Raw genomic sequence first — 20,890 nt, 5'->3', positions numbered from 1 at the left:
GATTCTCCTGCCACAGCCTCCCGAATAGTTGGGATTACAGGTGCCTGCCACCACGCACAGCTAATTTTTTGTAGTTTTAGTAGAGAGGGGCTTTCACCATGTTGGCCAGGCTGCTCTTGAATGCCTGACCTCGGGTGATCCACCCACCTCTGCCTCTCAAAGTTCTGGGATTACAGGTGTAAGCCACCGTGCCCAGCCAAAACTTTCTTTTTGAGACAGAGTTTCACTTTTGTTGCCCAGGCTGGAGTGCAATTGTGTGATCTTGGCTCACTGCAACCTCTGTCTCCCGAGTTCAAGTGATTCTCCTGCCTCAGCCTCCTGAGTAGCTGGGATTACAGATGCCCGCCACTATGCCCAGCTAATTTTTGTATGTTTAGTAGAGATGGGTTTCGCCATGTTGGCCAGGCTGGTCTTGAACTCCTGACCTCAGGTGATCCACCTGCCTCTGCCTCCCAGAGTGCTGGGATAAGAGGCGTGCGCCACCACACCCAGCTGAAAAACTTTTGTAGAGAATGTTTTGATAACCTTTGATCACTTGCCATATCCCAGGGTGGTGTGAAACTAGCATTTAAAAACATTAACGTACGTTTAATACTTGTTCTTGGCCTTCATTACTTAAATTTAAAAGTTTAATACATCATTGTTATACAGTCTGTAAATATTAATTAGCCTACTTGTATTCTGAGTTATTTTAATATTTGCTTGATTGCAGGAAATCTTCACCGAACCAGCAGTGTTCCTGAGTATGTCTACAACCTACACTTGGTTGAAAATGATTTTGTTGGAGGCCGTTCCCCTGTTCCTAAAACCTATGACATGCTAAAGGTAGGATATCAAAGAATGTAACCCTAGTGATCAGATTACTACCATGAAAATATTTTCAAACTTCCTAAGATTATTTTTGAGTGTTTACTTTTCCCAAGTATTATCATTTCCTAAATGAGTTTTGAGAAAATTGATATTTATGAGGATACCATGGAAAACTAGGGATGTGAAACATTCTTACATCCTAGTGCAAATAAATATGACTCAAGTCAACCAAGTCTTATTTTCAAAAAGCCTTTACCCAGAAAGGGGCAAACTTCTCGTCATCTGATTCAGAGAAACGGACATGTTGGGTAATAGTCCCAGAGTAATTAGTCCTCAGCAAAGTTGAAATTTGATTTATGCCCCCTTTAAACTTTATTTCTCTCATGTGCAGGCTGGCACAACTGCCACTTATGAAGGTCGCTGGGGAAGAGGAACAGCACAGTACAGCTCCCAGAAGTCCGTGGAAGAAAGGTCCTTGAGGCATCCTCTGAGGAGACTGGAGATTTCTCCTGACAGCAGCCCGGAGAGGGCTCACTACACGCACAGCGATTACCAGTACAGCCAGAGAAGCCAGGCTGGGCACACCCTGCACCACCAAGAAAGCAGGCGGGCCGCCCTCCTAGTGCCACCGAGATATGCTCGTTCCGAGATCGTGGGGGTCAGCCGTGCTGGCACCACAAGCAGGCAGCGCCACTTTGACACATACCACAGACAGTACCAGCATGGCTCTGTTAGCGACACCGTTTTTGACAGCATCCCTGCCAACCCGGCCCTGCTCACGTACCCCAGGCCAGGGACCAGCCGCAGCATGGGCAACCTCTTGGAGAAGGAGAACTACCTGACGGCAGGGCTCACTGTCGGGCAGGTCAGGCCGCTGGTGCCCCTGCAGCCCGTCACTCAGAACAGGGCTTCCAGGTCCTCCTGGCATCAGAGCTCCTTCCACAGCACCCGCACGCTGAGGGAAGCTGGGCCCAGTGTCGCCGTGGATTCCAGCGGGAGGAGAGCGCACTTGACTGTCGGCCAGGCGGCCGCAGGGGGAAGTGGGAATCTGCTCACTGAGAGAAGCACTTTCACTGACTCCCAGCTGGGGTAAGTCCCCTCCTGACTCTGCAGTTCAGTCATTGCCAGCACATTCTGTTCCCACAGCCCTGACAGCATGAGCTGGCACTTCTGGGGCTTGAGAGAAGGGCTTCCAGAGATAAGTGATTAAAATAATGACTTTTCAGGCAGCTGCCTAATTGACAGATCAGCCTATTTACCTCAGGGACAGGGGCCAAGCTACCTGCTCACATGGCAGCTTTGTATGGAAATGTGACATTTAGTCCATCTGTTCCAGATTAGATGCTGGCTGAAGGGACCCTACCCCTCAGCCATATGAAAATCTGCTCTAAACTCCAAAGTAGGCCAAGAATTGGAGAATTGCATGCGTATTTTCTTCATCATCCCATGAAATAAAAGGAAAAAATGCTTATTCTTAGCACGAATGCCATTTGGATAACTATGACTGTAAAAAGAGCTAAGGAAAGATGGCTGACTTCTAGATGTCTTTTTTCTTCCTTTGGTACTTGGTACCTTTTAGATTTCTAGTGTCAGTGATTTGAAGGGGTATTCTTTTGGCAGTATTAAATTATTAAAATAACTGAATTTTTAAGTCATTCCTTTCCATTCCTATTTACTTTATAGCTTGACTAATTTAGTGTTTGGAACTTAACCCTTATTCAAGTTTAATGCCTGATCACAAATTTTATAAACTGTGCACGTTACTAAGAGAAAGATTGAGAAATGGATGGCTGATTAGATCAGTAACTCCTGCAATAATGATCTAACATCATTAGGCTAAAACATTAGATATGTTATTGTCATTTGATTGCTAAAGTTGTCTAATGATAGTTGTTACCTCTAAACATCCCTTCAAGTGAAATTGTACAGCATGCTCACTGACCAGGTAGCATCATTAATAAACTACTTCTCAAAATGATGAGGGCTAATCTAATCTTAACACAGGAAATATTTTTTATGATGTAAAATTCACCATGAGATTTCTAACATTTCTTATAGTAAGCAGACCTTAGGCAATATGAGCATACTTACAAAGAGGAAAAATAAGCCGGGAGCAGTGGCCCAGGCCTGTAATCCCAGCACTTTGGGATGCCCAGGCGAGCGAATCACTTGAGTTTAGGAGTTCAAGACCAGCCTGGGCAACATGATGAAACCCCATATCTACGAGCAATACAAATATTAGCTGGGTGTGGTTGTGTGCACGTGTGGTCCTAACTACTCGAGAGGCTGAGGCGGGAGGATTACTTGAGCCCAGGAGATGGAGGTTGCAGTGAGCCAAGATTTGTGCCACTGCACTCCAGCCTGGGGAACACAGTGAGACCTTGTCTCAAAAAAAAAAAGAGAAAGTGTATCAGGTCATTGTTTATGGAGGAAAAAGCTGATAAAGGCTTTTAAACAGGTAATTCAAAATTTATGGAATGCCTACCATAGCCTAGGATTTGTGATAGCCACAGTTTTAGCAAAATGATTTTAACAGTAACAAAATTATTATCTGACATCCTCCAACAACTGGCATTCTCTCCCTCCATCTCTGTGTCCCTTGCTTCTTGAACCACCCTGTCACTTCCCAGTCTCTCGTCAACCCACTGCAATATGATTTCAGTCCCCTCCATTCCACCTAAACAGTCTCCTGACAAATGTAGCAATGATGGCCTTATCTGCTACATCCTAAGCAGACACTATATTGAGTAATATAAGCACTGCTTATATTACTCAACCTGTGGGTGGTGTTTGAGACACCATGAAATTCTCTCATCCCTTGGTTTTCAGGGCACCAGCTTCCCCTGGTTTTCCACTCACCTCTCCAGCCATTCTTTGTTAGTGTTCTCTGCGTGCTCCCTTTCTGCCTGCTCAAAGAAGGCATCTTCAGTAACCCTTCTATTCCAAGTCTTGATGCTCTTCCAGAGAGGCTCTGTGTACCTCACTTTTATCCTTATGGTTCTCAAAGTTTTGTCTGCAATTCCATCCTTGATGCCAAATTCTGGACCTATATGAAAATGTAACAACCTCCTGGAAATTTCACACTCAGTATATCCTAAACTAAACTCATCATCTCCCTATCCTCAACTTCCACCCATCTCCTCCTGCTGTAGTCTACTATTTTCAAACCTGGAAGTCATTCTTATCTTCTCCCTCTGTAGTCACCTATCACCAAGCCATATTTTTCCTTCTATGATGGGTCTTGAATTTTTACCCTTCTTTCCATTTCCATTACACAGGGCTCTCTGCCTCTGGTCTTGCTCAGTCAGAACCGTTCTCTAGGACTGTCAGAATTATCTTTCCACATGTGATTGTTTATAACCCTTCCATAATTCCACTAAGTGTTCATGCTTTTAGGCATGACCTACAAGCCCCATTGTGTTTTCAGCTCTGCTTATCACTTCAGCCTCTTCTCCTTCTACTCTTCTCTGCCATTCATCACCACCATCCCCAAACATACCCACATACCAATACCCAAACCACCTGGAACCTCTTTACTTTCCTTAATGCAAGATATTTATCCATATTCATTCTCTCTCTCTTTCCTTCTTTTCCCCCACTCCACACCTTTACATATGCAGCTCTACTTTTGTCTGACTACTTATAATTCTGGATTTAGCTCAGATACCACCTATTTTCTGACCACTTCCTTCCCAGTCTAGCTTAGGTGCCCCAGATAGCAGCCTTGTGTGAGTGTCTCTATCAGAAAAATATATTGTGGCTATTCATTTGCTTATCTGTTCTCCCTCTGGACTTTGAGATTTTTGTGAATGCTCAATCATCTTTATATTCTCAGCACCCTAAAATGGAAGTAGGCCTATAGTAGGCACTGTATAAATATATGATGAGGCCAGCACAGTGGCTCACATCTGTAATCCTAGCACTTTGGGAGGCCCAGGCTGGAGGATCGCTTGAGCCCAGGAGTTTGAGACCAGCTTGGGCAAAATAGGGAGACCCCGAGACCCCACTTCTATTAAAGATAAACAACTTAGCCTGGCGTGATAGTGCCCACCTGTGGTCCCAGCTACTCCGGAGGCTGAAGTGGGAGGATTGCTTGAGCCAGGGAGGTTGAGGCTACAGTGAGCTGTGATTGTGCCACTGTACCCCAGCCTGGGCAACAGAATGAGATCTTCTTTCAAAAAATAAGTATATGGTGAAAGAGTGAAGGAATTAAAGGAAGGAGAAATGAAATATAAATTTTACTTTTTGCCATCTAGGTTCTTTTGTTGCTCAAATTCTAGAAGTATTAGTCATACTATTTTTGGATTATTGTTTTAATAGACAGGGTAAATTGTATTATAATATTTAATCATATTTCCAAGAGTAGAAGGAACACTTGGGGTCAAGAAATTTAAAAATAATGAGTAAGAAATCTCTTCCTGAGATTTCCCCAAATTCTAGAGAGTAGAAATCATAGAAATCAACTTTTTTTCTCTGATTATGAAAGGAAAATTTGGCTCTCTGTGAAAAGGAGAGGGAGCCAGACGTATTTTGTGTAATGAGGAAGATAGATGCCCAAGGTGGTGCCTGTGCCTGTCTGACCTCCCCCTTTCCTCTGCTGGGCTCCACGCCTCATTTCAGTTCCCCAGGCTGCTCCCTGGGACACCTGCCCTGAGACCACACACTGTGTTCTCTTTGGTCCCGCATTGTCAAACTTTGTCCAGCCCTTTTTTGGGGGGGATTTAAGTTTTTATGCCTAGTGAAACTCCCACATGTAAAGGAGTATTCTTTCATATATGTTGAATATTAACTGGACAAAACCATAAACCTGCATAATGACTTAAGGTATTAAACAATGGACCTGGCTTTCCAAAAGAAGAATGGCTGGTTAAACAGTTACTAATGCAGCTAAAAACTGAGACTTGGAGTGTGAGAGAGACAAACTGATGAAACCGATGTTCTAAATCAAACTGATGAAAAAGGTTTTTAAGAATCACCACAAAAAAAATTATAGATGAATTTTTCTAAAACCATGATTTATGACCAGTTGGAGGCTGATGGTTCTGCAAATGAGTAGTAGGATCTTCATAGGTCCTTCCCAGTAAGCATCACAAAAGATGAAAATGGGCCGGACGCGGTGGCTCACGCCTGTAATCCCAGCACTTTACGAGGCCGAGGTGGGCGGATCACTTGAGGTCAGGAGTTTGAGACCAGCCTGGCCAACATGGTGAAAACCCGTCTCTACTAAAAATACAAAAGTTAGCCAGGCATGGTGGTGGATGCCTGTTATCCCAGCTACTCAGGAGGCTGAGGCAGGAAAATTGCTTGAACCCAGGAGGCGGAGGTTGCAATGAGCTGGTATCGTGCCATTGCATTCCAGCCTGGGCGAAGGAGCAAGACTCAGTCTCCAAAATAATAATTAAATAAATAAAAGATGAAAATTGAGTGAGATGTATGATGGTCTAGGAGAGGAGCAGTGAAAAATAGGATATATCATCAAGTGCTAGGTTGTGTGATACATATTAGTGTCTACAGAAATTTAAAGAACACAAGAGCAGGGCCGGGCATGGTGGCTCACACCTGTAATCCCAGCACTTTGGGAGGCTGAGGCTGGCAGATTGCTGGAGCCCAGGAATTTGAAACCAGCCTGGGCAACATGGCAAAACCCCACTTCTACAAAGTACAAGAATTAGCTGGGCATGGTGGTGCATGCCTGTAGCCCCAACTACTCAGGAGGCTGAGGCAACAGAATCACTTGAGCCTGGGAGGTCCAGGCTGCAGTCAGCCATGATCGTGACACTGCACTCCAGCCTGGGCAACAGAGTGAGACCCTGTCTCAAAGCAAAACAAACAAAACCCACAAGAGCATCGTGCTCTGGGATTAGTTGAGGGAGACTAAGCAGAGAGGGTGGATCTTCTCTAGGATTGACAGTCAAATTTGTGACCAAGAGCACTGCAGAGCAGAAAACAGATCATATTGACTTCCCTCCACGTCCTCTTAATTACTACCTGCTTTAGTTCTTTAATTTTTCATCTCTTTCAACTCTACCTTTTTTTTCCATTTCCATTTTTAACAGCCCAGTTCAAGGCTTTTTTGCCTCAGCTGAACCTTTTATAGTGCCCTCAACGCTGTCTCTCTTTCAAGAAACACATATCCATTCCAGAGTCATCTTTCCAAAGCATTGCTTTCATCCTACTTTAAAATATTTGTGGGGATTTGCATTTACTGAGCGTCTGACAATACTTGTAGGAGCTATCCATTCATCATTTTATGTTTGCTTTGCCTTCAGAGGTGTAGCCATATTCTAATATCAGGGGAACCAGCCTGGGCAGGGCTGTGTTGTTAGTTGGCAGGAATGCTGGCTACGGGGAGATTACACACGCACACAAGTTACTGGGTTGTTTTGTTTTGTTTTTTTTTGAGACAGACTTTCACTCTTGTTGCCCAGGCTGGAGTGCAATGGCACGATCTCGGCTCACTGCAACCTCCATCTCCCAGGTTCAAGCAATTCTCCTGCCTCAGCCTCCCAAGTAGCTGGGATTACAGGTGCCCGCCACCACGCCCAGCTAATTTTTTGTATTTTTAGTAGAGACGGGGTTTCACCATGTTGGCCAGGCTGGCCTTAAACTCCTGACCTCAGGTGCTTCACCCACCTCAGCCTCCCAAAGTGCTGGAATTACAGGTATGAGCCACCACCGCCCGGCCAAGTTACTGGGTTTTTTTCTCCCCCTGTAATGTCTCGTATTCTGACCAGTGGTAGTTTACACTGCTTTCTCTTACATTTTTAAATTTATACTGATATCATTTAAAAAATTGTTGAAATGACTTACTTCTGGAGAATATGTTCAGGGGTCAGTGGGGCTAGGGAACAACTTCTCTTCCTGATCCTCCAGCCCAGGCCCATCGCCATCTCCCAAGACACATTTCTGCAGCCTTCAAGAAATGTTTTATAAGTGAGTGGGGAGAGAGAGAAGGAGGGAGGAAGACAGAGAAAAGGAGTTGGAACGGGGGAATGCTATAGGAGAATAGAGGAAAGAATAGCTCTAGCTGTTCTAGGGGATGGGGTACAGAAAAGATTTCACAGAAATGAAGATATTTGAGCTGAGACAGGAGAATTGCTTAAGACAAGGAGTTGGAGACCAGCCTGGGCAATATAGGGAGGCCTCATCTTTACAAAAAATTTAAAAATGTGGCTGGGCACGGTGGCCCACGCCTGTAATCCCAGCACTTTGGGAGGCTGAGGTGGGTGGATCACGAGGTCAGGAGTTCGAGACCAGCCTGGCCAACATGGTGAAACCCCATCTCTACTACAAATAGAAAAATTAGCCGGGCGTGGTGGTGGGTGCTTGTAATCCCAGCTACTCTGGAGGCTAAGGCAGGAGAATTGCTTGAACCTGGGAGGCAGAGGTTGCAGTGAGCCGAGATCGTGCCACTGCACTCCAGCCTGGGTGACAGAGCAAGACTCCGTCTCAAAAAAAATAAAAAAAAAAAATTAGCCGGGTATGGTGGCGTGCACCTGTAGTCCCAGCTATTCAGAAGGCTGAAGTGGGAGGATCGCTTGAGCCCAGGAGGTTGAGGTTATGGTGAGCTATGATCACATCACTGCACTCTCACACCTGAAACAGAATAGGACTGTCTCTCTAAAAAAAGAAGAACAAGAAGAAATGAAGATACTTGAATTGAGTCTTGAAGAATGGGTGAGAATTAGGTAGTATGATAAGCTTCCTGGAAAAGTCAAAGAAGGTGGCTTGTGAAGAAGGTGGCAGTGTTTAGAGAAGGATTAAAAGCCTGGTGTGATTGGAGGGGTGTAGTAGATCCAAGGAGGGGGAGGAAAAGAGGTTGAGGATGACAGGAAATGGAGTCAGACTTGGGCCAGAATGTATGCCGTGTTATGGAGTTGGACTTGATAGATAGTCAAACAGAAAGTTGACCCCCTGACAGCTGTAGTAAACCTTGCTGAGGAAGTCTTCACTTAGTTTAGGAATTTTTTTAGTGATAAAGTGAAATCGCATTGGATTGCCTAAGTGTGAACACAGAGCTTCTATGTGAATCATGTTCAGGAAAATAAAGGATTAGAGTAGTGGAATTATTTGTGGGTGTTAGAGATGGGAAATTCAAACTTTCCTGAGTCATGTATGGCTTATGAAATGGATTAATGGCTCAATCTTTTTTTAAAAAAAAAGCTGCATAACAGAAGGCTGTTCTTATGAATGATCTTTCATCAGTTAAAACAACCGTGATGGCTGGCAAAGACTTTGCCATTGAGCTTGAGACTAGACTTACAGAGTTTTGACTTCTCTGTAAAGGCCTCAGTCCATGAATGTAAAATATTCCCATCTCCTTTAAAAGGTGTAATATCCTCTAATATTAGATAAAAATATTAGATAAAAGTGACTCAAATTCTAGTTTTAGTGGTAATAGCCTGCATTTTTTTTTTACTAATTATAATTGACTCATGAGGCACATTAAAAATATGAGATCATTATATAATTCTCAGTATAGATGCCAGAGATTTTCTGCTTCACTTTTAATACCCTTTATACTTATGAGGTAACCCTTCTGTGTTTGAACACGTGTTTCAGAAGCAGGGGGTATTAGTTTTTGGTCATGAGGCGCATTACTCCTTATCACCCCACCTGCACCGCCCCCACCCACACACAGGCACACCCTTCATAAGGCTGTACACACTAACACCTGTACACATGTGCATGTATTCATGGGTTAGCCTAATAGAAAAGAGTATTTACTCACTATGCTTGCTAGTAGATATTGGAAAACTCCTTCTCAGGATGTCTCCAGTGTCTGGAATGAATGTGTCTGGAATGTTACCTGGAATGAATCAGGTATAACCCTCTTTGAAGCCAAAGAACACTCCTAAATTACCTTTAAAGCATGTCTTTAGTCATTATTTTGTTTGTTTGTTTTTGAAACAGAGTCTCACTCTGTTGCTCAGGGTGGAGTGCAGTGGTGTGACCAAGGCTCATTGCAGCCTTGACCTCCCAAGCTCAAGCGATCCTCCCACCTCAGCCTTCCAAGTAGCTGGGTCTACAGGCACATGCCACCACACCCAGCTGATTTTGTTTGTCTGTTTGTTTTTTGTAAAGACAGGGTCTCACTATGTTGCCAGGGCTGGTCTTGAATTCCTGGACTCAGGCAATCCTCCTGCCTTGCCCTCGCAAAGTGCTGGGATTACAGATGTGAGCCACCGTGCCCAGCCTAGAAATAATTTTTAATTTCTGTAAACAGATTTCTTTTGGATTCTTTTAAAAGTCTTATTGTGCCTTTAAAGTTGCTTTTATAAGATGTAAGAATCATAGGATACATATTTATCTTTTTTCTTTCTTTTTTTTTTTTTTGAGATGCAGTCTCGTTTTTCCTCCTAGACTGGAGTGAAGTGGCACTATCTCTGCTCACTGAAATCTCCACCTCCTGGGTTCAAGTGATTCTCCTGCCTCAGCCTCCTGAGTATTACAGTATTACACCTGAGATTACAGGTGTATACCACCACACCCAGCTAATTTTTTTTATTTTTAGTAGAGATAGGGTTTCACCATGTTGGCCAGGCTGGTCTTGAACTCCTGACCTCAAGTGATCCGCCCACCTCAGCCTCATATTTATTTTTAAAAGTTCAGCTTCTTTCTTTGGTATATGGTATAATTCAATCGAATGACATCGTCCAATGTCTTCTATCTGATCAAAGCTGAAGAATTTCTATCCAGTAGTCCCTCTGCCTTGTGATCTTGGGTGCTGATTTTTCTTTTGGCTGAAGAAAAGCCAAGGTTCAGATGTTCTAGTGCTTCCCAGTATTCGCTGAGTCGTCTCTGGAGGACCAGGTTGGTAGGCAGGAGGAGGGAGGTTTGGAATCTGGCTGAATCTGTGCCTGTTTGTCTAGGAATGCAGACATGGAGATGACTCTGGAGCGAGCAGTGAGTATGCTCGAGGCAGACCACATGCTGCCATCCAGGATTTCTGCTGCAGCTACTTTCATACAGCACGAGTGCTTCCAGAAATCTGAAGCTCGGAAGAGGGTGAGTGTCATCTTCAGTCCATTGCAAAGCGCAACACACTTTCACTTCTATTATGGTGACTTTGCACACTGAAACCAATAATTTATTTAAATTTTTAAAAATTGGGACCGTGCGTGGTGGTTCACGCCTATATTCCCAGCACTTTGGGAGGCCGAGGCAGGTGGATCACAAGGTCAAGAATTTGAGGCCAACCTGGCCAACATGGTGGAACCCCTGTCTCTACTAAAAATACAAAAATTAGTTGGGTGCAGTGGCAGGTACCTGTAATCCCAGCTACTCGAGAGGCTGAGGCAGGAGAATCACTTGAAGCCAGAAGGCGGAGGTTGCGGTGAACTGAGTTCGCGCCACTGCACTCCAGCCTGGGTGACAGAACAAGACTCCATCTCAGAAAAAAAAGAAAAGAAAAAATCAACCGGGTGCAGTGGCTCACGCCTGTAATCCCAGCACTTTGGGAGGCCAAGGTGGGCAGATCACTTGAGGCAAGGAGTTCAAGACCAGCCTGGCCAAATGATGAAACCCCAACTCTACTAAAAAAAAATACAAAAATTAGCCATGTGTGGTGGCACATGCCTGTAACCCCAGCTACTTGGGAGGCTGAGGCAGGAGAATTGCTTGAACCCGGGAGGCAGAGGCTGCAGTGAGCCAAGATTGCACCACTGCACTCCAGCCTGGGCGACAGAGCGAGACTCATCCTGAAGAAGAAAAAACAAACAAAAACTTAATTGAGGTCTTTTACTTTAAAAGAAAACAGCCACTCATTACCAAAAATATTTCCTGCAATTCGGAAATGTAGAAAGTAAGTCACTACACAAATTTCCCTCTTCTTTTCCTGTCTCCCCAACCTCTCCATTTAGAACCATCCCCAGAGGCAAGGGTTTTGCAACTTTTTTTCATTCAGTGATTCCATTAACATTTGTAACAATTGTTCAATGAATTGCTTTGTGCATATATGTTTTGACACTTCTGTTCCTGTAGGACAGATCCTCAGAGATGGAATCAATATGTTATTTTATATTTGTCTTAAAAAGTGATACATTTGTGAGGGAGGAGGAATCACAGCTCAAAAAGGTGTTCAGTGAAAAGTAAGTCTCTTCTACTCCAAACTCCAGCCTATATATTCTCTCTGTTCTGTCTCTTTCAATCTCTCTCACACACAAACACATATATCAATTTTTTTATCTTTCCAGAGATATTTTATACACGAAGAAACAATTGTTGAAACAGTTGATTGAGTTTCCTTTTTAAAACATGAAATCATAAATGATAACTTACTACTTATAATACTTTATTTTTTTATACCGTATCTTGGAAATCTTCAATATGTATTAATCTTACTCATTCTTTTAAGATGCTGCATAGATTTCTGTTGTCTAAATGTATCAGTTTTGTTGGTTGATTTTTTAACTACCTTATTGAGGTACAATCTGACATAGTTTTGACAGGTTTGACACTAAAACCATCATCACAATCAAGATAACAAATATATCCATTACCTCCAGCGTTTTCTTGTGCCCCTGTGTAATCCATATAATCCCTCCAGCCCTCAACCTACGAACAGCCTCCCAAAACAACCAGTGATCTGCTTTCTTTCTATGTTTTGAGACAGGGTCTCACTGTGTCGCTTAGGCTGGAGAGCAGTGGTGTGATCACAGCTCACTGCAGCCTCAACTTTCTGGGCTCAAGCAATCCTCCCACCCCAGCCTCCTGGGTAGCTGGGACCATAGGCGCACACAACCATGCCCAGCTAATTTTTGTATTTTTTGTAGAGATGGGGGTCTCACTATGTTACCCAGGCTGGTCTGGAACACCTGGCTCAAGCAGTCCTCCTTCCTCGGCCTCTCAAAGTTCTGGGGTTACAGGCGTGAGCCACCATGCTCAGCCATGATCTGGTTTCTGTCACTATAGATTGAATTTTCTCGAATTTTATATAAATGGAATCATATAGAATATAAGATTTTTTTGGTTTGAATTATTTTACTCAGAGTAAGTCTTTTGAGATTCACCCATTTCGTGTTAATCAGAAGTTTTGGCTATTACAAATAAAGCTACCGTGAACATTTGTATACAAGTCTTCATGTAGACATGTGCTTTTATTTCTCTTCAGTAAATACCTAGGAGTAAATGCCTGGATGGTATGGTAGGTGTATGTTTGACTTTTTAAGAAACTGCTAAACCATTTTACAAAGTAGCTGTGCCATTTCACATTCCCACTCACAATTTATGAGAGTTCCAGTTCCTCCTCATCTTAACATTTGATATAGTGAGCCTTAATGTTAGCCTGTAAGTTTGTACAGGTGTTTTACTGTGGTTTTAATTTGCATTTCCCCAATGACAAAGGGGTTGAACTTTTTTTTTTTTTTTTTTTTTTTTTTTTTTGAGAAAGGATCTGCCTCTGTTGCCCAGGCTGGAGTGCAGTGGCACAATTTTGGCTCATTGCAACCTCCACCTCTCGGGCTCAAGTGATCTTCCCACCTCAGCCTCCCAAGTAGCTGGGCCTACCGGTGCACTACCACACCTTGCTAATTTTTGTATTTTTTGTAGAGATGGGGTTTCACCATGTTGCCCAAGCTGGTCTCCAACTCCCAAGTTCAAAGGAGCCAGCTACCTTGGCCTCCCAAAGTGATGGGATTACAGGCATGAGCCACCACACCCAGCCAGAACATCTCTTTATGTGTTTATTTGCCACTTACATATCTTCTTTAGTGAAATGTGTATTCAATTCTTTTGCCCATTTTGTTTTGTTTTGTTTTCTTATTATTGAATTTTGTAAGTTTTTTAATATTTTCTGTATACAAGACCTTTTCTAGATATATAATATGAAAATATTTTCTCCCAGTTGTGCTCTGTTTTTTCATTCTCCTAATAGGTTTTCATTTTAATGGGATTTAATTTATTCAGTTTTTTCCCTTTATGGTTTCTGCTTTTCATGTGTATCCAAGAAATGTTTCTCTATTCAAAAGTTAGAAGATAATCTATATTTTATCCTAGAAGTTTTGTAAATGTTATATATTTTAGTTGTTCTATGGTCCATTTGTGGTTAATTTTTTATATATTGTAAGATGTGGACTGAAGTTCCTTTTTTTGGTATATGTAAATTTAATTGTTCAGGTGTCATTTGTTGCAAAGACTTTTATTTCACTGCTAAATTGTCTTTGTATCTTTGCTGAAAAGGAATTGATCAAATATGTGAGTCTATTTCTGGACTGTGTATTCTGTTCTATTGATCTATTTGTCTTTTTTTTTTTGAGACGGAGTCACTCTGTTCCAGACAGGAATGCAGTGGCGCAATCTTGCCTCACTGCAGCCTCTGCCTCCCGGGTTCAAGCTATTCTCCTGCCTCAGCCTCCCAAGTAGCTGGGATTATAGGCATGTGTCACCATACATGGCTAATTTTTGTATTTTTTTTTTAGTGGAGTCGAGGTTTCATCATGTTGGCCAGGCTGGTCTTGAACTTCTTGCCTCAAGTGATCTGCCCACCTTGGCCTCCCAAAGTGCTGGGATTACAGGCATAAGCCACTGCACCCAGCCGATTTTTTTTTTTTTTTTTTTTCTGAGATGGAGTCTTGCTCTGTCACTCATGCTGGAGTGCAGTGGCATGATCTTGGCTCACTGCAACCTCCGCCTTCTGGCTTCAAGTGATTCTCCTGCCTCAGCCTTCTGAAGAGCTGGGATTACAGGCAACTGCCACCACACCCGGCTAATTTTTGTATTTTTGGTAGAGACAGGATTTCACCATGTTGGCTAGGCTGGTCTCCAACTCCTGACCTCAAGTGATCCACTCACCTCAGCCTCCCAAAGTGCTGGGATTACAGGTGTGAGCCACCACACCCAGCCTGTAAGATTATTTTTGAATGTTTACTATTCCCAAGTATTATTTCCTAAATGAATTTTGAGAAAATTGATTTTTTGAGGATACCATGGAAAACTGGGGATGTGAAACATTCTTACGTCCTAGTGCAAATAAATATGACTCAAGTCAACCACATCCTACTTTCAAAAAGCCTTCACCCAGAAAGGGGCCAACTTCTCATCATCTGATTCAGAGAAACAGACATGTTAGATAATAATCCCAGAGTAATTAGTCTTCAGCAAAGATGAAGACTATTTGTCTGTCTTATTCAAATTCCACAGTCTTGATTACTATCGTTTTATAAGTCTCAAAAGTAGGTAATGTTAGTCCATCCATTTTATTCTTTTTCAAAGTTTTGTCTATTCTACAACTTCAGCAGTTCCATTTGAAGTTTAGAATCAGCTTGTCAATTTCTTAAAAAATAATTGCTGGGATTTTGTTAGAGATTGCACTGAATCTGTAGATCAATATGGAGAGAATTGACATCTTAACAATATTGAGTCTTGTGACCCATGACCATGGTACATGTTAACATCTATTTAGGTCTTCAGTTTTTCTCAGCAGAGTTTTATAGTTTTTACTGTAGAGGTCTTTCATGTCTTTTCTTAGATTTATCCCTAAGTTTATCATATTTCCAGATGCTATTATAAATGGTACTTTTTAATTTCTATTTTTGGTTGTTCATTGCTAGTATATAGAATAGATAATATATATATAATATATATATTTACGTGTGTATGTGTGTGTGTGTGTGTGTGTGTGTGTGTATGTGTATAGTACTTGCTAGAACCTCTCCTACAATCTTGAAAAGAAGTGGTGAGCGTGGGCATATTATCCTGTTTCTGATCCCAGGGCAAAAGTATTCAGTCTTTCTTTCACCCTTAAATATTATGCTACCTGTAGGTTTTTTATAAATGACCATATCAAGTTGAAGAACTTCCCTTCTACTCCTGCTTTAATGGAGTTTTTGAATCACGAATGGATGTTGGATTTAGTCAGATGCTTTTTATGCATTTATTGAAATATTTTTATGGTTTTTAATTTTAATTTTGCCATTATGGTAAATTACCTTGATTGATTTTAAAATGGTATTCCATTCATAAACCCCACCTGGTTATGATGTACTGTCACTTTGTAGGTTTTATGACTAGATTTGCTAAAATCTTGTTAAGAAATTTTACGTCTGTGTAAAAGACATGATCTGTACTTTTAGTGTCTGTCTGATTTTGAGTTGTGGGTAATACTAGTCTCATAGAATGAACTGGGAAGTATTCCCTTCTTTTCAGTTTTTTGAAAGAGTTTGGTTAGAAATGGTATTATTTCTTCCTTAAATGTTTGGTAGACTTCAGCAGTGAAGACGTCTCAGCCTGAAGATTTTTATGTGTGAGAAGGTTCTTAGCTGCAAATTCAGTTTCTTGAACTGCTGTGGGGCTGTTTAGACTATCAGTGGCTTTTTTAGTGAGCTTTGGTAATTTGTGTCTTTCAAGGGAGTCTTTCAAGGGATTTGTCCATTTGATCTAAGTTGCTCCAGTGCTCTTTATTTGTTTGTGTAGATAGTGTGATCCTTTACCTTTACCTGAAAATTTTTATTTTGTTTTGTTTTTTACGAATCCACTTTTATTTATTATTGTTTCATTAGTTTAAATCCTTGAGGGGTACAGCATCACTCGGACTCTGTGTCCAATAGCTCTAGCAGGAAGATTGCTTCGGAATTTGGCACAAACCATGCCACTGTGTTCATGCGCCCAAGTTACCTTTCCCCAGATTACTCTGGTTTTGTTTGGTTTGCTGCCAGGAGTCACCGTGTTGTTCTTTGCTTTGTATACATAAGGACATCTCTTGCCCAAGTAGAATTCTGTTTCATCTCGGGCATAAACACCTTTAATTTTAAGAAGAGATGTGTTCCCTTTTGTTCTGGAGACCGCACTTATAGCCAGCAAAAATGGCCTCGGACTACAGACTGCTTTCCAGTCGTATTTCCATTTAGAACATTTAGAAGTCCCGTTCCTAGCCGGTCTCCACAGGATCCAAGATGGCGAGGCAAGAATACTTCTTTATTTCTTTCTTTATTTCTTTATGAGACAGAGTCTCACTCTGTCACCCAGGCTGGAATGCAGTGGCGCGATCTTAGCTCACTGCAACCTCCACCTTTCGTGTTCATGCAATTCTCCTGACTCAACCTCCCGAATAGCTGGAATTACAGGTGCCCGCCACTATGCCCGGCTAATTTTTGTATTTTTAGTAGAGGTAGGGTTTTGCCATGTTGGCCAGTCTGGTCTTTCACTCCTGACCTCAAGGGATCCACCCGCCTCTCAAAGTGATCCACTTGGGTCCTCCTGAAGTGATCTACCTCCCAAAGTGCAGGGATTAGAGGTGTGAGCCACCGTGCCCAGATGATCTGAAGAATTTTCTTTTCTTTTCTTTTCTTTTTGAGACGGAGTTTCGCTCTTGTTGCCCAGGCTGGAGTGCAATGGCACGATCTTGGCTCACTGCAACCTCCACCTCCTGGGTTCAAGCGATTCTCCTGCGTCAGCCTCCCGAGTAGCTGGGATTACAGGCATGCGCCACCATGCCCGGCTAATTTGTATTTTTAGTAGAGATGGGGTTTCTCCATGTTGGTCAGGCTGGTCTCAAACTCCCGACTTCAGGTGATCCACCTGCCTTGGCCTCCCAAAGTGCTGGGATTGCAGGTGTGAGCCACCATGCCTGGCCTACCTGAAGAATTTTTTTTAAATATTTATTTTAGTTCATCACCAGCAAACCTGCATTATTTCAGCTTCTGTATGTCTGAAAAAGAATTTCATCTTTGCTTTTGAAAGGTATTTTCACTGGCTTTAGAATTCCAGGTTAACAGTTTCTAAATATTAGTACTGAAAGTTGGCCACGGCGTGGTGGCTCACGCCTGTAATCCCAGCCCTTTGGAGGACTGAGGCGGGCAGATCACTTGAGGCCAGGAGTTCAAGACCGGCCTGGGCAACATGGTAAAACCCTGTCTCTACTAAAAATACAAAATTAGCCAGGTGTGGTGGCGGGTGCCTGTAATCCCAGCTACTTAGGAGGCTGAGGCAGGAGAATTGCTTGAACCCAGGAGGCGAAGGTTGCAGTAAGCTGAGATCACACCACTGCACTCCAGCCTGGGCAACAGAGTGAGACTCTCTCTCTGTCTCAAAGAAAGAAAGAAAGTTGCTCCACTGTCTTCTCACTTGCATCACTTGCATTGTTTTAGATAAGAAATCTCCTGTCATCCTTATCTTTCTTCCTCCATACATGAGTCTTTTCTTCCCACCTCTGGCTGCTTTTAAGATTTTCTCTTTCTTACTGGTGTTGATCAGTTTGGTCACATGTGCTTTAGTGTAGTTTCTCTTAGTTTTTTGTGCTTGGGAGTTCACTGAGCTTCATAGATTTGTGAATTTCTACTTTGCATCAAAATTAGAAAATTTTCACAGTTTTTCTATTCCTCCTTTGGGAACTACAATTACATACACGTTAGGCTTCTTTAGATCTTTCTTTTTTAGTCTTCTTTCTCTGTGTTTTTAGATAAGTTCAATTCCTATGCTTTACATTTGCTAATCTCTTAATATGTGTTTAATATGCCATTAATACATTAATGTGTTTAATATGCCATTAATCTTACTCAGTGTATTTTTTCTTCATACATTGTAGTTTTCATCTCTAAAATTTAGATTTCAGTGTTTTTATGTCTTCTATGTTTCTATTTAACATGTTCTATCTTTGCTCAAGATTTTTGAACATATGGAAGACAGATAAAATTGCTACCTTAATGTCCTTGTCTGCTAATTCTAATATCTGTGTCTATTCTAGGTAGCTTTTGATTGATTGGTTTTTCTCCATATTATGGGTCATATTTTTCTTCTTCTTTGCATGCCTGGCAGTTTTTATTGGCTCCTAGGCATTGTGAATTTTATCTTGTTGGATGCTGGATATTTTTGTAAATATTCTTGAGCTTTGTTCTGGGTGCAGTTAAGGTGCTTGGAAACAGTTTGATCCTTTCAAATTCTGCTTTGTTTGTTTGTTTGTTTGTTTGTTTTGAGACAGAGTCTTGCTCTGTCACCCAGGCTGGAGTGCAGTGGTACAATCTCAGCTCACTGCAACCTCCACCTCCCGAGTTCAAGTGATTCTCTTGCCTCAGCCTCCCAAGTAGCTGGGATTACAGGCGCATGCCACCATGCCCGGCTAATTTTTGTATTTTTAGTAGAGATGGGGTTTCACCATGCTGGCCAGGCTGGTCTCAAACTCCTGACCTCGTGATCTGTCCACCTTGGCCTCCCAAAGTGCTGGGACTACAGGCATGCACCACCGCGCCCAGACCAAATTCTACTTTTTAAAAAAAATTTTACTTGAAGCTTTGGGATACATGTGCAGTGTGCATTTGTTATATAGGTATACATGTGCCATGGTGGTTTGCTGCATCTATCAACCTGTCATCTAGGTTTTAAGCCCCGCGTGCATTAGGTATTTGTCCTAATGCTTTCCCTCTCCTTGCCCTCAAATTCTACTTTTAAGATTTGTTAAGTGGAACCAGAGCAGCATTTATTCTAGAGATAATTAATCCCTGCTTCTTAAGGCAAGACACTTCTGAGAACTCTATCTAATGTAGCAGGAATTTTTGAGATTTTTCTGGCTGGCTGATAAGAATAGTCATTGTTCCTAGGCCTGTGTGAACATGAGGAGCTGTTCCCTTAAATCCTTTTGGATGATTATTTCCCTGGCCTCAGACAGTTTCCTCATACCACATGTACTAATTAATACTCTACTGAATACTAGCAGGCAGGTCCTCTGCACATCTCAGGAGTTCTGTTTCTGTTCAGCTCTTTTCTCTGTGGTACTCTTTTCTGCAAAAATTAGCTCCTTTGGTCTTCTCAAACTCTGAGCTCTGTGCCCTCAACTCTGTTGAGTTTCACTTAAGTTTTCTCTCACTGCCCCATAGCCTGGGAACTCTCCCAAGGCAGTGATATCTAAGGGATCGCTATCCATCATTTACTCATTTTCAGTTATTGAAACCATTGTATGTTTTGTCCAATTTTTGTTTCAGGCAGTAAGTTGAGTTGTTAGTTACTATCGAGTCATTTTTAATTTTGATAAATAACTCCCCAATAAGTCCTCCCAAAAATTGTACAAATTTACACTCCCATCAACATTTTATCAGAGTGTTCATTTCCATGTACCATTACTACCACAAGGTATTATTCTTTTGTTTGTTTTTGTTAATCTGATAAGCAAAAATAGGCATTTCATTATCATAGAAATTTTCTTATATTTGAAATCAAGACTAATAGTTGTCCAATCAAACAGTTATTGAGGGCCAGGTATAGTGGCTCATACCTGTAATCCCAGAACTTTGGGAGGCCAAGGCAGGCAGATGACCTGAGGTCAAGAGTTCAAGACCAGCCTGGCCACCATGGTGAAACCCCATCTGTGCTAAAAATACAAGAATTAACTGGCATGGTGGCATGCACCTGTAGTCCCAGCTACTCAGAAGGCAGAAGCAGGAGGATAGCTTGAACCCAGGGGGCAGAGGTTGCAGTGAGCCAAGATCATGCCAGTGTACTTCAGCCTGGGCAACAGAGAGAGACTCTGTCACACACACACACACAAAAAAAAAAGTTACTGAGAAAAATATTTTTTAAAATGATAAAATAAACGCTTTTATAGAATTTATCATCATCTTGCATGCATAAACTATGCCCATTATAAATCATCTGCCATTTTTAGTTTAAGTTTAAAGTGGAATGAGAACTTAATGGAACTAATTCATCTGAGTTCAAATCCTAGTCTCTTACATTAATTCTATCCATCACTAATTACAGAGCTCTCTTAAGCTTTTCACCTTTATCTAGTCTTTCCAAAGCATCAAATTAATTTTCAGAGAAATAAGTACTCTTTCTATACTTATATTTCATCCATTTATAGAATAGGTAAGTAAATTACATAATTATAACAAATACAATTGACATAAATACCCTGGGAAGCAAACCTAAATTACTGTTGGTAAACATGTAACTCAACTGGTAGAAATAGAAGTGCAAAGGCTCAAATAGAGTAACCTACCAGCTTTGATAGTACTCTGAGAATCAAGGAGGTTTCACAGAGGGAAAAGAGAATGTTGTTGGTTAGCCTTGCAGGTCAGTCAAGTAAGGATCACACAACAGAGCTTCTGCTGATTTTTTTTTCACTTGAATTCATTAATTATTCATGAAGTTG

At 41.9% G+C, this 20,890-nt stretch overlaps 1 protein-coding gene and 1 pseudogene across 10 annotated transcripts in view, besides 2 other annotated features; one reads left to right on the top strand and one right to left on the bottom strand.

Annotated features, from left to right (window-relative positions):
• Nucleotides 1-20,890, top strand: part of PKP2 (plakophilin 2) — a 106,023-nt gene that overhangs the window by 17,033 nt on the left and 68,100 nt on the right. For all 10 annotated transcript variants that reach the window (NM_001407156.1, NM_001407155.1, NM_001005242.3 and 7 more), the window contains 3 exons: nucleotides 713-825; nucleotides 1,202-1,899; nucleotides 10,683-10,818. In NM_001407156.1, the coding sequence (NP_001394085.1) occupies nucleotides 713-825; nucleotides 1,202-1,899; nucleotides 10,683-10,818 (947 nt within the window). The remainder of the gene's footprint in view (nucleotides 1-712; nucleotides 826-1,201; nucleotides 1,900-10,682; nucleotides 10,819-20,890) is intronic.
• Nucleotides 1,072-1,596: an enhancer, noted in NCBI's record as "H3K4me1 hESC enhancer chr12:33031083-33031607 (GRCh37/hg19 assembly coordinates)". NCBI's record gives its function as "activates a minimal SCP1, AML or CMV promoter by ChIP-STARR-seq in primed H9 embryonic stem cells {active_cell/tissue: H9 hESC(primed)}" and the evidence as "EXISTENCE:reporter gene assay evidence [ECO:0000049][PMID:30033119]".
• Nucleotides 8,493-8,693: a silencer, noted in NCBI's record as "peak1670 fragment used in MPRA reporter construct". NCBI's record gives its function as "represses an SCP1 promoter by STARR-seq MPRAs in K562 erythroleukemia cells {active_cell/tissue: K562}" and the evidence as "EXISTENCE:reporter gene assay evidence [ECO:0000049][PMID:32103011]".
• On the bottom strand, nucleotides 16,274-16,714 carry RPL35AP27 (ribosomal protein L35a pseudogene 27; annotated as a pseudogene).

Source organism: Homo sapiens, chromosome 12 (assembly GCF_000001405.40).
Source record: "Homo sapiens chromosome 12, GRCh38.p14 Primary Assembly".
Taxonomy (NCBI): domain Eukaryota; kingdom Metazoa; phylum Chordata; class Mammalia; order Primates; family Hominidae; genus Homo; species Homo sapiens.
Note: the sequence above shows the minus strand (reverse complement) of the source record. Positions and strands in the feature narration are given on the sequence as shown.